We start from the raw sequence: 15,432 nt of genomic DNA, 5'->3' as shown, positions 1-15,432 counted from the left end.
CGGCTCACTGCAACCTCCAGTAGGTTCAAGCGATTCTCCTGCCACAGCCTCCTGAGCAGCTGGGATTACAGGTGCCTGCCACCATGCCCGGCTAATTTTTGTATTTTTAGTAGAAATGGGGTTTCACCATGTTAGCCAGGCTGGTCTTGAATTCCCAACCTCAGGTGATCCACCTGCCTCAGCCTTCCAAAGTGCTGGGATTACACGCATGAGCCACTGCACCTGGACGAACATACTGTTTTCAGAGACAGTACAACCCATAGCCCACATGTGCATGTGTATTAGTCCATTTTCACACTGCCGATAAAGACATACCTGAGGCTGGGCGATTTACAAAAGAAAGAGGTTTAATGGACTTATGGTTCTACATAGCTGGCGAGGCCTCACAATCATGGCGGAAGGTGAGAGGGATGTCTCACATGGCAGCAGACGAGAGAGAGCTTGTGCAGGGAAACTCACCTTTTAAAACCATGAGATGTCATGAGACTCACTCACAATCATGAAAAAAGCATGGGAAAGACCTGCCCCCATTATTCAGTTACCTCCTAACGAGTCCCACTCATGAGACGTGGGAATTATGGGAGTTATAATTCAAGATGAGATTTGGGTGGGGACACAGCCAAACCATATCAATGTGCATGTTTATTTCTATATAGTTACCTACGTATTAAAACTATAAGTTTATACTGATATTTCCAATTCCATTTCAGCACTGCAGAGTTCATTCTAGTCTTCTCTCTTTCCCTTTTTCTGACTTCATTAAACACTGAGGATCCTTGCTTCATTATTCTTAGTATATTACTCATTTGCTCATTTCCAAAAAAACACAGAAAGTAGTTTCAGAATTGCTAATCCTGGCTGGGTGCAGTGGCTCACACCTGTAATCCTAGCACTTTGAGAGGCCAAGGCAGGAAGATCTCTTGAGTCCAGGAGTTCAAGACCAGCCTAGGCAACATAAGGAGACCTCGTCTCTACAAATTTTTTTTTTTTTTTAGACAGAGTCTCATGCTGTCACCCAGGCTGGAGTGCAGTGGCACAGTCTCGGCTCACTGCAACCTCTGCCTCCCGGATTCAAGCAATTCCCCTGCCTTAGCCTCCCGATTAGCTGGACTATAGTCGCCCGCCACCACGCCCGGCTAATTTTTTGTATTTTTAGTAGAGACGGGGTTTCACCATTTTAGCCAGGATGGTCTTGATCTCCTGACCTCATAATCCGCCCACCTCAGCCTCCCAAAGTGCTGGGATTACAGGCATGAGCCACCGTGCCTGGTCTACAAAAAGGTTTTTAAAATTAGCTGGGTATGGTAGCACACCCCTGTAGTCTCAGCTACTTGGAAGGCTGACATGGGAGGATCACTTGAGCCTGGGGAGGTCTAGGCTGTAGTGAGCTGTGATCATGCCGCTGCACGCCCGCCTGAGTGACAAAGCAAGACCTTGTCTCAAAATAAGAAAGAATTGCTCATTTTTACCACCGTAAAACACAAACCTGCCAACTCTAGTTCAATATTTGTTATCAAATTTTTATCTTTAGATTGAGAATATATAGTAAAATATTATGTTTAAAATTCATTAGCCGAGCATGGTGGCACACATCTGTAGTCCCAGCTACTCAGGAGGCCCAGGCAGGAGAATTGCTTGAACCCAGGACATGGAGGTTGCAGTGAGCTGAGATTGTGCCACTGCACTCCCCTGGGTGACAGAGTGAGACTCTGTCTCAAAATAAATAAATAAATAAAATTAAATTAAATTATTTGGAATGATAGAGTAACAGGGTTTAGATTTATTCTTACTCCTTAAGTGAAAAACTGGACAGGACGTATGGATCAGCTGTTTTCAGACTCGGACCTTTTGCTGAGGGGACGGAAGCAAGTGAGGTGAGCCCTGTGATCTCCCTGACTTCCATCTGAAAGCACTTTCTGGACCAAGTTCAGAGAGGAACAGTCCAAGTACAGCTTGGAAGTTCCTGATTGGTAGAGGGGACAAACTGGAACTTGGGGAAGCTGAGGCAGCTGGAATTTGCAGGGTGGCATATGAGAGAGCAGGGACCTTAACAGAAACAGCTCCTGAAACCACATGGGCATCCCATAGCCTTTGCTTGAATACTAAACTGTGCGTGTGCCAGGGAGCTGCTAGCTGAATGATTCTCAGCGTTCACACAAGGCCAGGAGGCTTCTGAGTTCCTACTAGCAAGAAGAATGGAACTCTGTTGAGGCTGGGCACAGTGGCTCACGCCTGTAATCCCAGCACTTTGGGAGGCCAAGACAGGCAAATCACTTGAGGTCAGGAGTTCGAGACCAGCCTGGCCAACATGGTGAAACTCCACCTCTACTAAAAATACAAAAATTAGCCAGGCGTGGTGGCAGGCGACTGTAGTCCCAGCTACTCAGGAGGCTGAGGCGGGAGGATCACTTGAACCCGGGACGTCAAGGCTGCAGTGAGCCAAGAATGCGCGACTGCACTCCAGCCTGGGTGACAGAGACTATCTTTAAAAAACAACACAAACAAAAAAAAAAAACAACCCTGTTGAACACCCAGATGTTCACTAGAGGTGCCAGAGGTACTGAATTATGCCCATCCCTACAAGTGCCAAAAATTCATCATGACAAGATCCAGCAGATTGACAAGTAAGTCAACTGCCTGCCCCCCAAGACATTCAACACTCTCTCTTTTTTTTTTCTCCCTATTCTTGCCATTCTGGATTTCAGTTAGATATATGTTAGTTAGACCTTCTCATTTTATTCTCCACGTCCCTTTGTTGTACTAGTTTTCCTTTTTTTGCGGGGACAGAGTTTTGCTCTTGTTGCCCAGGCTAGAGTGTAACAGTGTGATCTCGGCTCACTGCAACTTCTGCCTCCTGGGTTCAAGTGATTCTCCTGCCTCAGCCTCCCGAGTACCTGAGATTACAGGCATGTGCCACCACGCCTGGCTAACTTTTGTATTTTTAGTAGACATGGGGTTTCACCATGTTGGCCAGGCTGGTCTCAAACTCCTGACCTCAGGTTCAGGTGATCCACCTGCCTCGGCCTCCCAAAGTGCTGGGATTACAGCCGTGAGCCACCTCGCCCGGCCAACACTCTTTAAAAGACAGTAACAAAGTCAAGACATGCAACATGGCACTGAAATGCCCAGTGCCCAATCAAGAATTACTAGATATGCCAAGAACCAGGAAAATGTGACCCATAGCCCAGAGAAAAATCACTCTGTACAAAACAGACGCAGAAATGACAGAGATGATGGAATTCGCAGACAAGGATGTTAAGGCAGCGACTATGCATGTGCTCAAGGATTCAGGGAAAACAATGCAGAGATAAATGGGTGTTATATAAATAATCCAGTGAATTAAAGCTGAAATGCAGTATCTAGAATGAAAAATTACTTGTTGGGCCGAATATCAGAGTAGACTTTGCGGGAGTTGAGTGAGTTTGAGATTATAACAGTGGAAACTAGCTGAACTGAAGCACCAAAAGAAAAAAATGATGAAAAAAACGAGAAGGGCCTCAGCAAACTGAGACAAACATCAGCGATTCTAATATGCCTGTGATTGGAATCCTAGTAAGAGGTTGTCGGGGGGCAGAAAAGATTTCAAAATTAATGCCCTTGAATTTCCCAGATTTGATGAAAACGATAAACCCACAGATACAAGAAGCTCAATAAACCTCAAGCAGGATCGACACAAAGGAAAAGAGCCACTGTTGGGCCTAGCACTGACCAGGTCAAAATAAGGCTGGAGCTGAACCTCAGTGTACCCGAGGCAACGTGCAGTGGGGGCTTAGGATATTGGTGCTGAAACTTAGTTTTCCTCTTAGGGGATTGCAGTGACATTGTCAAACTGCAGAGTCTGAGGGCACAGTCCTCCACAAGACTGCCTTTGCTGCAGACACCAGCCACACATTTGGGGTCCCTGGGGCCACCCTCACTTCTAACCAGCAGGTTACAGTTCAGGATCCACCCTCCCCAGCTCTTCAGGTGACACATTCGCAGTACTCACTGGGCGTGCCCTAATACGATTATAGTCAATTGGAGGAAAGGATGCTTGTTGGAAGGATGTGCAGGGCAAAGTCTGGGAGGTTTCCATGTGCAAAGCTTTCCCTGTCCTCAGGGACGCATCACCCTCCGAGCTCTGAGGTGGGACGCTCCTCAGGGTACTGCCAGCCAGGGGCGCTCACTTGGGCTGTGGTGTTCAGTTTTTATTGGGGCTTCGTTGCATGGGCACAGTTGACTGAATCACTGGCCACGTAGCTGAGCTCAGCCTCCAGCCCTTCACCTCCCAGGAAGTCAGCTGAGTTCACCAGGCACACAGCCCCAGGCCTCTAACCCCATGCTGTCTTTCTGGTGTGGCCAGCCCCATGTTGAGTCATCTTGCTAGCATAAAGTCAGGTGTGGCCCCGTGATACCAGTCATTCCTGTCACTCAGAAATGAGGGTGTAGAGACTGCCTCCTAGAACTGGGCCAGAGGCCACCAAATCCTACCCAGGAGTCAATCAGTATCTAAACTTGATAAATCAAGAAGAAGTTGTAGAAATGTATTATTTAGAAATATAGAGGCCGAGCGTAGTGGCTCACACCTGTAATACCGGCACTTTGGGAGGCCAAGGCAGGCAGATTGTTTGAGCCCAGGAGTTCGAGACCAGCCTGGCCAACGTGGCAAGACCCTGTCTCTACAAAAAATACAAAAATTAAGGCCAAGCACAATGGCTTACGCCTGTAATCCCAGCACTTTGGGAGGCCGAGGCAGACAGATCACGAGGTCAGGAGATCGAGACCATCCTGGCTAACACAGTGAAACCCCATCTCTACTAAAAATACAAAAAGTTAGCTGGGCTTGGTGGCGGGCGCCTGTAGTCCCAGCTACTTGGGAGGCTGAGGCAGGAGAATGGCCTGAACCTGGGAGGCGGAGCTTACAGTGAGCCAAGATCACGCCACTGCACTCCAGCCTGGGCGACAGAGCAAGACTCTGTCTAAAAAAAAAAAAAAAAATTAGCCAGGCATGGTGACCTGTAGTCCCAGATACTCATGAGGCTGAGGTGGGAGGATGACTTGAGTCCAGGAGGTTGAGGCTGCAGTTAGTCAAGATCACACCACTGCACTCCAGTGTGGGTGACAAAAAAAAAAAAAATATATATATATATAAAATATATAATATATACATATAGACTATAAATGTATATATATAATTATATAGAATAAATACATGTATTATGTTATGTATCATATATATGTATTTTGATTAAAATTTTAAATAATATTATAAAGAGTAATTGCATTACTTCAACAGTTCTGTATCTGAGTTATATCATAGACAAAATAAATTAAGGCCTGCTTTCTAAATTTAACCATCATTTTAAACATTCTAAGCAGGGAAAACATTGTGTTCTAAGCAGACATAGTAGTAAAGCCTCCTCTAGGCCGGGCGTGGTGGCTCATGCCTGTAATCCCAGCACTTCGGGAGGCCAAGGTGGGCGGATCACTTGAAGTCAGGAGTTCAAGACCAGCCTGACCAAAATGGAGAAACCCTGTCTCTACTAAAAATACAAAATTAGCCAAGCGTTGGTGGCACATGCCTGTAATCCCAGCTACTCGGGAGGCTGAGGCAGGAGAATCGTTTGAATCCGGAAGGCGGAGGTTGTGGTGAGCCAAGATCACACCACAGCACTCCAGCCTGGGCATCAAGAGCAAAACTCCATCTCAGAAAAAAAAAAAAAAAAAAAAAAAAAAGAAAAGTCTGCTGTAATATAAGTGGCATCATATCCTGGCGCTTGGCTCCCTGCATGGATTTTTACTCTGATTTTCCATTTGTTGTCTTCTCCCGCACCCCGCCGTCACCATTGTAGGTGGACGGAGGCTGACGTGTGTGCCGTAGCTTTGCAGGTGTGTCACCATCGGAGGTGGACAGAGGTTGATGAGTGTGCCGTGGCTTTGCAGGTGTGCTGCTGTCAAGGGTGTGAGCAGTGCCCAGGAATCTCTGGGAAATGGGGTTCCCTTTTCTGAGCATCACCCTGACCGTAGCGCCTCCTGATGGAATGTACTTCCTGGAACGGGTGTTAAGAACACAGGCGCAGGGACACACAGACATGCACACATCCTGTTGCAGACACATCTGCAGATAACACATCTCCATACATGGACTCACGCAGATGCAGGTGCACAGAGACATGCAGACAGACATGCATGCCAAGCACTGAGGACTGTGGCACCCAGGGATATTGGCATACTGACAGCACAGGGATTTAGGATCCGTTTGGAAAGGCATACCCAGAAGTACTGCGGTAGGTGGTCAGGGGGCCTAGTGGCTGCTCCTCTGTGCAGCACGTCCTCTCAGATGCACACATTGTGTGGGACAGCAGTATTTTCACAATTACATCTGTTTCCATTTCCTGAAGTGGAATATGAGTTAATCAAGTGCTTGGAATTACATAATTAGCAAATCCACAAAATTGTCTTTCTTATACTTCTTTGCAAAAGTTTTATGTGTTTAAACGAACCCTTCCAATTTGAAAGGCTTAGCTGAGTTTGATGTTTCTGCATGAAAATGGACACATTCGATTTTAAGTGTCCCCTAATCCATTATCAAGACACAATCTCTTGACTAATTGAGTGGGTTACAAATACCTAAGTGTCCCTGTCCTTCCCTGCTGGTGTGTAACTTGTGATCTGAACCACCGGGGCGTCGCCGTTCTCGTCACAGGCAGCTGCCCCACCGTCCTCGCCGTGTCTGGAAGCGCAGCAGAGCCCACGAGCTACCTGAGGATTGCGTTGGGCTCGAGGCGGCTCTGGTACAGCAGACCAGACCCCGGGTGTTCCTGCTGTGGCCCCTGAGCTTTGGGTGCATTTATTATATTTGAGTATTGAGATCTCATTCGTTCTATGGTTTTCGATTCACTAGAATTTTCCTATTTGATGATTGTATCAGTTGACTGGGAGGAAGATTTAGTAGATGGATTATGGAGGACTTCTGAATTTTAAAGAACTATTGTTAAATTTGGTTTCTTTTTCTTTTTTAAATCTTTCTTGTTTAGGTTTGTTCGGACAGTGTTACCATTTTCTCAGGAATTTCAAAGAGATAAGCAGCCTAATGCACAGCCTCAGTATCTGCATGGATCCAAGGTAGGCTCCAATGTGTTCGTGTTACGAGCTTGAAGCTCATAATGAAGCATGTTTTGAAGTGTAGTTTAATTGGTTTGGTTGCAGTGACCTAAATGTATCACGCTGTGTATAAAATGTTATTTTTTTTTTCCATTCTGTTAACATCTTCCTGAAAAGTAGCAGTAATTTAAAACAAAAACTAGCCAACCAACCCAAAACAGTGCTTATCTAGAACTAGCGCGTACGTAGTGTTGGGACAGCTCTGGCCTTGTGATAGGTGTCAGGCTGGGCCTGGTCTCTTTCCCAGCACAAACACAAGTGAGATTGTTGGAAGATTACAGGTTTAAAAACATCAAGCTGAGAAGACAAGTGGAAGAGGCTCAGGTGCATTCCTGAGATAAGGAGGCCCAGGGTGGCTGTAAGGCCTGACCGGAGGAGCGGAGCTGGAAAGGTGAGCCCAGGGAAGGTCTGACATCCAGAAACAAGGATGTCCGCCTGTGCCTGGAGGGTGGAAACCCGGAGCACCCGGGTCTACCATGTGTGAGATAGGATGATGTCCACGCTGGGGGTGGCTTGGCTTGTCACAAGTCTGAGTATTATTAAGGGCTAGTTTCTTCACGTTTCAAGCACCCGTGTGATTTAGTAAGGAAAATATAAACATTGTAGCAACGAAGAGAGATGAAATGAGCAGATACCCCACAAAAATAGAGCAGAGCAAATACAAGCAGATCCCCAGCCTCAGCGGAGCTGGGGAAGGAACAATGATGGCGGCAAGAGCCAGCAGGCCCCCAGGATGAGGCCAGAGGATCCGGCTCGCCTGTGAAGAGCGAAAGCGTCTTCCCTCTGCGAGCTGCGGTGTCCCCGGGCTCTGCGGTGGGGGCAGGCTGCCAGCACTCATCAGTATTTAAGTGTCCTCGCTTGTAGGAAGCGGGGACAATCACAGGACATTGTCTGCCCCATCTGCCCAATGCCTGGAGCTGGGATGGAGAGGGCCCAGGCCCTGCCGCTCACACGCTGCCTGCACCTGGACGCTTTCTAACGCACCAGCTGGCTCTGAGTGGCGGAAACAATGTTTTCCACTCATTCCTTTCTAACCCTCTGTTCTTCAGAGCGAGATCTTCTCACTCCAGTCCTTTGGGCGTCTTCCTTCTCCTTACAGGGCAGTGCCTTGGACCTGGCAGGAGCGCAAGTGTTTGCACCTGGGAAACGGCAAACACCCAAATCAGGGCATTGGTTTTTGGAGGGCCCAAGCCTCGGCATACGCTGCCCGTCTCTCCCGCCCCTGAAAAGAGCGAGTGTGGGCCGGGGGCGGCCTTTTTACGGCACTCAGAGCATCTCTGAGCAGGAGAGACAGGTCGTCTGAACTGTGTGCAGTGATGAAGGGGATGTGAGATTCCTCTTCGGGAAACGGGGCCCACGTGGACCAAGGGTGACTGTGTAAACATTATGTCCTTGAAAATATGTTCTTTTTATTTTTTATTTTTTTGAGATGGAGTCTCACTTTGTCGCCCAGGCTGGAGGGCAGTGGCATGATCTCGGCTCACTGCAGCCTCCGCCTCCTGGGTTCAAGTGATCCTCCTGCCTCAACCTCCCGAGTAGCTGGGATTACAGGTGTGCAACACCATGCCTGGCTAATTTTTGTATTTTTGGTAGAGACGGGGTTTCACCATGTTGGCCAGGCTGGTCTCCAACTCCTGACCTCAGGTGATCTGCCCGCATCGGCCTCCCAAAGTGCTCGGATTACAGGTGTGAGCCACTGCGCCTGGCCATCTTTAGTGTTTTAGGGGTTATTTTTTTTAGCAATGTTATGATGGCAATTGAAAAAAATACAATTCAGATCCTCTCTAGGGTGCAGATGTTTGAAGGAAGTGGGTTCTTGCCTTTCACAAAGACAAGGTTAAAGGTGGGGGTGGGAGGTGGCATTGCCTGCCTTGGGGAGAAAAATGTCAGGGCTGGGAGCCTCGCTGACACATGAGGGCCAGGGTCGCCAATGCCTGGAGAACATGGGACAGGCTCATTCCATCATTCCACACTCCGCGTTCTCGAGGCTGTTGGCAGGTGCGGCCTCCGCTGTGCCCCTCCACCCTGTCTCTGTTCGTGTTCTCGAGGCTGTTGGCAGGTGCGGCCTCCGCTGTGCCCCTCCACCCTGTCTCTGTTCGTGTTCTCGAGGCTGTTGGCAGGTGCGGCCTCCGCTGTGCCCCTCCACCCTGTCTCTGTTCGTGTTCTCGAGGCTGTTGGCAGGTGCGGCCTCCGCTGTGCCCCTCCACCCTGTCTCTGTTCTTAGCAACTCCTAATGGCTGTGGAACTGTGAGTGGACACACAGTTCGTGTGATTCTGGGCTTCATGTGGCTGTGTTGGTGCCCCAGGAGGGCATCCAGACAGGTACCCAGGCGCCAAGAATGCAGTGACCGGGCCTCTCCTCTGTGGGGCAGGGTGGGGTGCACGCCTGGGCAGGGGTGCGCCACAGCTGTTACGGGGCTCCCCCTCACTTCCCGAAGCCCTGTGAGTGGTTAAGAATTCACCTCCATTCTGCTCCATGTGATACTCCCATGTTCTTTCTAGCAAGGATTGAAGTTGACTTTTCTTTTTTTTTTTTTTTTTGAGATGGAGTCTCCTCTATCACCTAGGATGGAGTGCAGGGCACAATCTCGGCTTACTGCAACCTCCACCTCCTGGGTTCAAACAATTCTCCTGCCTCAGCCTCCCAAATAGCTGGGATTAAAGGCGCCTGCCACCATGCCCGGACAATTTTTTGTATTTTTTTTTTTTTTAGTAGAGATGGGGTTTCACCATGTTGGCCAGGTTGGTTTTGAACTCCTGACCTCAAATGATCCGCCCACCTTGGCCTCCCGAAGTGTTGGAATTACAGGCATGAGCCAATGGTGGTGCCCAGTTGAAGCTGACTTTTATGCAATAATTAGTTATACTCAAAAGGATGTTTCTTTAAAGGATTAGAGTAAGTGTTCTGAGGCTTCTGCTTCTGAAAGTAAAATGTAGTGTTTTACCTTTAGAACTGAAGGAAATGTTATTTTAGAAGATAGGACTAGAAAGTTTGGCGAGTGAGAATAATTTCTTGGGTCTCTGTGAACTAAAAGATTTGCTCTGGGCTTCTCTTGACTTTGAAATTTTTAATCCCTGTTTTAGGCATAACAATAAAGTAGGTTTTTGTCACTCCCTGATAGAGAGGCATTTGTGCGCAGAGGGCACTGGGCAGAGAGGCTCCTCTGTCACCCCCATCTGGAGAGGATGGCTGTGGAAGCGAGGGAGGCAGGCGGGGGGTAGGCAGGCGACCCGACTGCGTGGGGCCGTGCACCTGCGGTTCTGATGGATCGAGTCCTGGAAGGGGCCTCGTGGGGTTGGTTTTTGAGATCCCAGGATAGCACTGTGGTGACATCTTTGCTGCCCAGTGTGTCTGTGTGCCCTTTGTGGTGTTAAAGGCTCTTGACACACGTTTTTATTCTCCAGGATTTTCTCCCAGGAGTGCAGGGAGGCACTGTTGCTTCCATTAAGATGCCAACATGAGCGCGCTGTTCCAGGGTGGTGGTGCGGGGTGCACATTTGCCTTGAGTCAGCCCCTACACTGCCAGAGCACCCTGCTGCCCTGTGTGCATGGGCACCACCTCAGGGATGGCTCCAGGGAATGGGCACTTGGAGGCATTTGCAAAGCTGATGCTCTTTTGGAGAGAAAGAAAGATTTGATGATGTGAATTTGATTTTTTTTTAAATTCAACTATTTGCAACTGAACTTGAACCTCACTGTAAGAGATTTCTGCCTCCGTTTCAGAAACTGTTTGTGTCGTTTTTGTTAAAACCTAAGCTAGTACATGGTTTTTCTTTTTGTTTTTTGTTTTTTTTGTGTGTTTTTTTTTTTTGAGACAGAGTCTGTCCCCTAGGCTGGAGTACAGTGGTGTGATCTTGCCTCACTGCAACCTCCAGTGATTATTGTGATTCCAGTGATTCGTGTGCCTCAGCCTCCCGAGTAGCTGGGATTACAGGAGTGTGCCACCACGCCTGGCCAATTTTTGTATTTTTAGTCGAGACAGGGTTTCACCATGTTAGCCAGGCTGGTCTCGAACTCCTGACCTCAAATGATCCACCTGCTTCAGCCTCCCAAAGTGCTGGGATAAAGGCGTGAGCCACTGTGCCTGGCCATAAACCAGTAATTTTTTTTTTTTTTGAGACAGGGTTTTTGCTTTGTCACCCATTGCTGGATTGCAGTGGCGCAATCACAGTTCACTGAAACCTCCGCCTCCCAGGCTCAAGCAATCCTCCTGCCTCAGCCTCCCAAGTGGCTGGGACTACAGGCATGCACCACCACATCTGGCTAATTTTTGTGTTTTTTGTAGAGATGGGATTTCACCATGTTGCACAGGCTGGTCGCGAACTCCTGAGCTCAATCAGATCTCCTGCCTGGGCCTCCCAAAGTGCTGGGATGTAGCCGTGAGCCACCGTGCCTAGTCCTAAACCAGTAATTTTCTATTAGATTATTTAGACATATACAAGTGACACTGATGTTGACCACCACCCACTCAAGAAGAGGCTGGATACTAAAAGAGATGATGTCTGAGCTGAGTCATGTGCTCACAGCAGACAGCCCTTGTACTCACAAGCACTCACATATGCCACGTGCACTTGCTTCTGCTGCAGTATGAGTCACAGTGTATATCTGTGTGATTATGGAATACACAGGAATCCACTCAAAAAACAGATTAGTGCTTTTTTTATGAATAGTGAACTAGGGCTGGTATCTTGCAGGAATAAAATAAACTTAGATGAGGGACCCATTTATGCAATGTTATCTTTTTCGTTCTTGGTCATGTCACCACTTACAGCATGCCTGCTTCTCAGTAAGACACCCTTTTGAGCACATTAACTAGTATTCTTTATCTCATAAGTAAGATTGTCCCCATTTCACAGATGAAGGCTCAGAGTGTCGTGAAAGTTAGAGCACCCAAGTTGCACGACTGGCGAGTCCAGAGCCGGCTCTGTGTGCTGTGACCCACCTTCTCTGCTTGTCGAACAAGGCTGGAGACTGTATCAGGCACGGGCAGCAGAGTCTGTCTTGAACTGAGCTGTGTGACTGGACATCCAGAGTGCTTCCTCTTCTGAGCTTAAGTCTTTTACAGCACAGTGTTTGTGACGGTGCCCTTCCCCAGAAGTAGTGCCTCCTCCCACTCCCCTGAGTAGTTAAGTCACATCTGCTGTTTGTTACCCTAGCTGTGTTGTCTCTCGGATGTGTCATCTTTGGGGTGAGCTTAGTCTACTGGGAAACCGGACACTGGGCAGGGGGCCAGAGGCCTGGGACCATGTGTTCATTGAGTGATGCCTCCTCTGACAGCTGTCATCCTGAGCCAGTCAGGGCGGGTCTGAGAATGAATTCTCTCACTTGTAACATGAGGTCATTAGATTTCACTGATGACTTTCGTGTTCTTCTTTTCAAACATTGAACCTGTTATCAACCAAAAATATTACACAGAATCCCAGCACATAAAGCCCAGGGTGCTGCTCTGAGGAGAGGCTGGGAGGAGGGGGTGTGGGCGAAGATGTGTAGATGGTTTCTTCAAGGTTGCAGCGGGCCGCAGGGCTTGGGCCTGGGACAGACACTGGGTGGGGTTTCTGTCCTTCAGTGTTGTCTAATCTCGTCACTGTAATCAGTTTTGGCTCTTTGTTTTGGGGGGTCTCATGACCCTCTACACATCTGATAATTCACTAGAAGGACTCACATAACTCAGAGTCTTACAGCTGCAGTTTATTCCAGCAAAGGGGTACAAAGCAGGATCAGTAATGGAAGCAGACAGATCAGGCGGAGGCTGAAGAAAGCAGGAGTGGCTGTATTAATATAAGATAAAATCAACTTCAGAGCAAAGAATATTGCCAGGGAGATTACATAATAATAAGTCAAACCACCACGAAGAAAACATAGCAATGCTAGATGTTTATGCGTCAAACAACAAGGCTTCTGTACTTGAAGGAAAGACTAATAGAAGTAAAGGAGAAGTGAACAATCCCACAGTTACAGTTGGGGACTTCAACTCTCATTTTAGTAATTGACAGAACAAGTAGACACAAAATCAGCAACAGTAGAAAAGAACTGAACACCACCATCGACCAACAGGATCTAACTGACGTGTGTAGGTTCCTCTACCCCACAACAGCAGAATATATACGTTTTTCAGATTCCCATGAAACATTCACCAAGATAGACCATACGCTGGGCCATAAAACTCACCTCAACAAAATTTAAAGAACTGAAATCCTATGGAGAGTGTTCTCCAACTACAATGAACTCAAACCAGAAACCAATAATAAAAAGATAACCAGAAAATCTCTATATGCTCGGAAATTAGCACACTTTTAAATAATCCTTGGGTTGAAGAGGAAATCTCAAGAGAAATTTAAAAATACATTGAATTGAATGAAATGTAAATATATCAAGATTTGATATATACAGCTAAAGAAGTGATTTATTTGATTTGATTATTCGATTTATTTATTTGATTTATTTGGTATACAGCTAAAGTGCTGAGAGGGAAATTTATAGCACTGAATACTCACAGTAGGGGTCTCCTGCTATCTGCACCCGTGTCCTTAGACAAGCTGAGGGGTGTCCTTCTGCAGGAACCACCTTGATATGTTTTGGCTCTATGTCCACACCCAAATCTCATCTGAAATTGTAATCCTCATAACCCCCATGAGTCAAGGGAGGGACCTGGTGGGAGGTGATTGGATCATGGGGGTGACGATGTTCTCATGATAGTGAGTTCTCACGAGATCTGATGGTTTTATAAGGGGTTCTTCCCCCTTGCTCTCTCTTCTCATTCCTGCCACCTTGTGAAGAAGGTGCCTGCTCCCCCTTCACCTTCCGCCATGATTGAAGTTTTCTGAGGCCTCCCCAGCCATGTGGAACTATGAGTCAGTTAAACCTCTTTCCTTTATAAATTATCCAGTCTCAGGTATTTATTTTTAGCAGGGTGAAAATGGACTAATACAGTAAATTGGTACTGGTAGAGTGGAGTACTGCTATAAAGATACCTGAAAATGTGGAAGTGACTTTGGAACTGGGTAACAGGCAGAGGTTGGAACAGTTCGGAGGGCTCCAAAGAAGGCGGGAAGATGTGGGAAAGTTTGGAACTCTCTAGAGACTTGTTGAATGTTTTTTGTTTGTTTGTTTGTTTTTTGAAATGGAGTCTCACCCTGTTGCCCAGGCTGGAGTGCAATGGCGCAATCTCAGCTCACTGCAACCTCCGCCTCCCAGGTTCAAATAATTCTCCTGCCTCAGCCTCCCAAGTAGCTGGGATTACAGGTGCCCACCACCATGCCCAGTTAATTTTTTTGTATTTTTAGTAGAGACAGAGTTTCACCGTGTTGGCCAGGCTGTTCTCAAACTCCTGACCTTGTGATCCACCCACCTCGGCCTCCCAACGTGCTAGGATTACAGGCGTGAGCCACCACGCCCTGCCTGTTGAATGGTTTTGACCAAAATGCTGATGGTGCTATGGACAATAAAGTGCAGGCTAACTAAGGTGGTCTCAGATGGAATTGAGGAGCTTGTTGGGAACTGGAGCAAAGGTCACTTTTACTACACTTTAGCCAAGAGACTAGCAGCATTTTGCCCCGCCCTAGAGATACGTGGTACATTGAACTTGAGAGAGATCTGAAATTGGAGTTTGTTTAAAAGGGAAGCAGAGTATAAAAGTTTGGAAAATTTGCAGCCTGAGGATGTGATGGAAAAGAAAAACCCATTTTCTGGAGAGGAATTCAAGCTGGCTGCAGAAATTTTGAATGTCAATCACCAAGACAATGGGGAAAATGTCTCCAGGACATGTACGAGGCAGCCCCTCCCATCATAAACCCAGAGGCCTAGGAGGGAAAAATGGTTTTCTTGGCTGGGCCCAGGGCCTGCCCTGCCCCTATGGTTCCCCCTCCCCCACCTCCCCACCCCACCCCCCATCCCCGTGCAGCTTCAGGACTTGGTGCCCTGCATCCCTGCTTCCTGGTCGCTAAAAGGGGCCAACATACAGCTCAGGCTGTTGCTTCAGAGGGTGCAAGCCCCAAGCCTTGGTGGCTTCCGCGTGGTGTTGGACCACCTAGATTTCAAAGGACATGTGGAAATGCCTGAATGTCCATGCAGAGGTTTGCTGTGGGGGTGGAGCCATCATGGAGAACCTCTGCTAGGGCAGTGAGGAAGGGAAATGGGGGGTTGGAGCCCCACACACAGAGTCCCCACTGGAATACTGCCTAGTGGAGCTGTAAAAAGAGGGCCACCCTCCTCCAGACCCCAGTCAGCTTGTACTGTGTACCTGGAAAAGCCACAGACACTCAATGCCAGCCTGTGAAAACAGCCAGGAG

The 15,432-nt window shown here is 47.7% G+C and overlaps 1 protein-coding gene across 10 annotated transcripts in view, besides 4 other annotated features; it reads left to right on the top strand.

The window, feature by feature from the left end:
• CYFIP1 (cytoplasmic FMR1 interacting protein 1) overlaps positions 1-15,432 on the top strand; it is a 113,847-nt gene that overhangs the window by 80,905 nt on the left and 17,510 nt on the right. For all 10 annotated transcript variants that reach the window (NM_001324119.2, NM_001324120.2, NM_001324125.3 and 7 more), the window contains one exon: positions 7,017-7,104. In NM_001324119.2, coding sequence (NP_001311048.1) covers positions 7,017-7,104 — 88 coding nt within the window. The remainder of the gene's footprint in view (positions 1-7,016; positions 7,105-15,432) is intronic.
• Positions 4,133-4,242: an enhancer, noted in NCBI's record as "active region_9160". NCBI's record gives its function as "activates an Ori minimal core promoter by ATAC-STARR-seq in GM12878 lymphoblastoid cells {active_cell/tissue: GM12878}" and the evidence as "EXISTENCE:reporter gene assay evidence [ECO:0000049][PMID:35858748]".
• Positions 4,433-4,522: an enhancer, noted in NCBI's record as "active region_9159". NCBI's record gives its function as "activates an Ori minimal core promoter by ATAC-STARR-seq in GM12878 lymphoblastoid cells {active_cell/tissue: GM12878}" and the evidence as "EXISTENCE:reporter gene assay evidence [ECO:0000049][PMID:35858748]".
• Positions 7,587-8,088: an enhancer, noted in NCBI's record as "H3K4me1 hESC enhancer chr15:22980661-22981162 (GRCh37/hg19 assembly coordinates)". NCBI's record gives its function as "activates a minimal SCP1, AML or CMV promoter by ChIP-STARR-seq in primed H9 embryonic stem cells {active_cell/tissue: H9 hESC(primed)}" and the evidence as "EXISTENCE:reporter gene assay evidence [ECO:0000049][PMID:30033119]".
• Positions 8,089-8,588: an enhancer, noted in NCBI's record as "H3K4me1 hESC enhancer chr15:22981163-22981662 (GRCh37/hg19 assembly coordinates)". NCBI's record gives its function as "activates a minimal SCP1, AML or CMV promoter by ChIP-STARR-seq in primed H9 embryonic stem cells {active_cell/tissue: H9 hESC(primed)}" and the evidence as "EXISTENCE:reporter gene assay evidence [ECO:0000049][PMID:30033119]".

The sequence above is a fragment of the Homo sapiens genome, chromosome 15 (assembly GCF_000001405.40).
Source record: "Homo sapiens chromosome 15, GRCh38.p14 Primary Assembly".
Taxonomy (NCBI): domain Eukaryota; kingdom Metazoa; phylum Chordata; class Mammalia; order Primates; family Hominidae; genus Homo; species Homo sapiens.
This window is presented reverse-complemented; position numbering and strand designations above follow the sequence as displayed.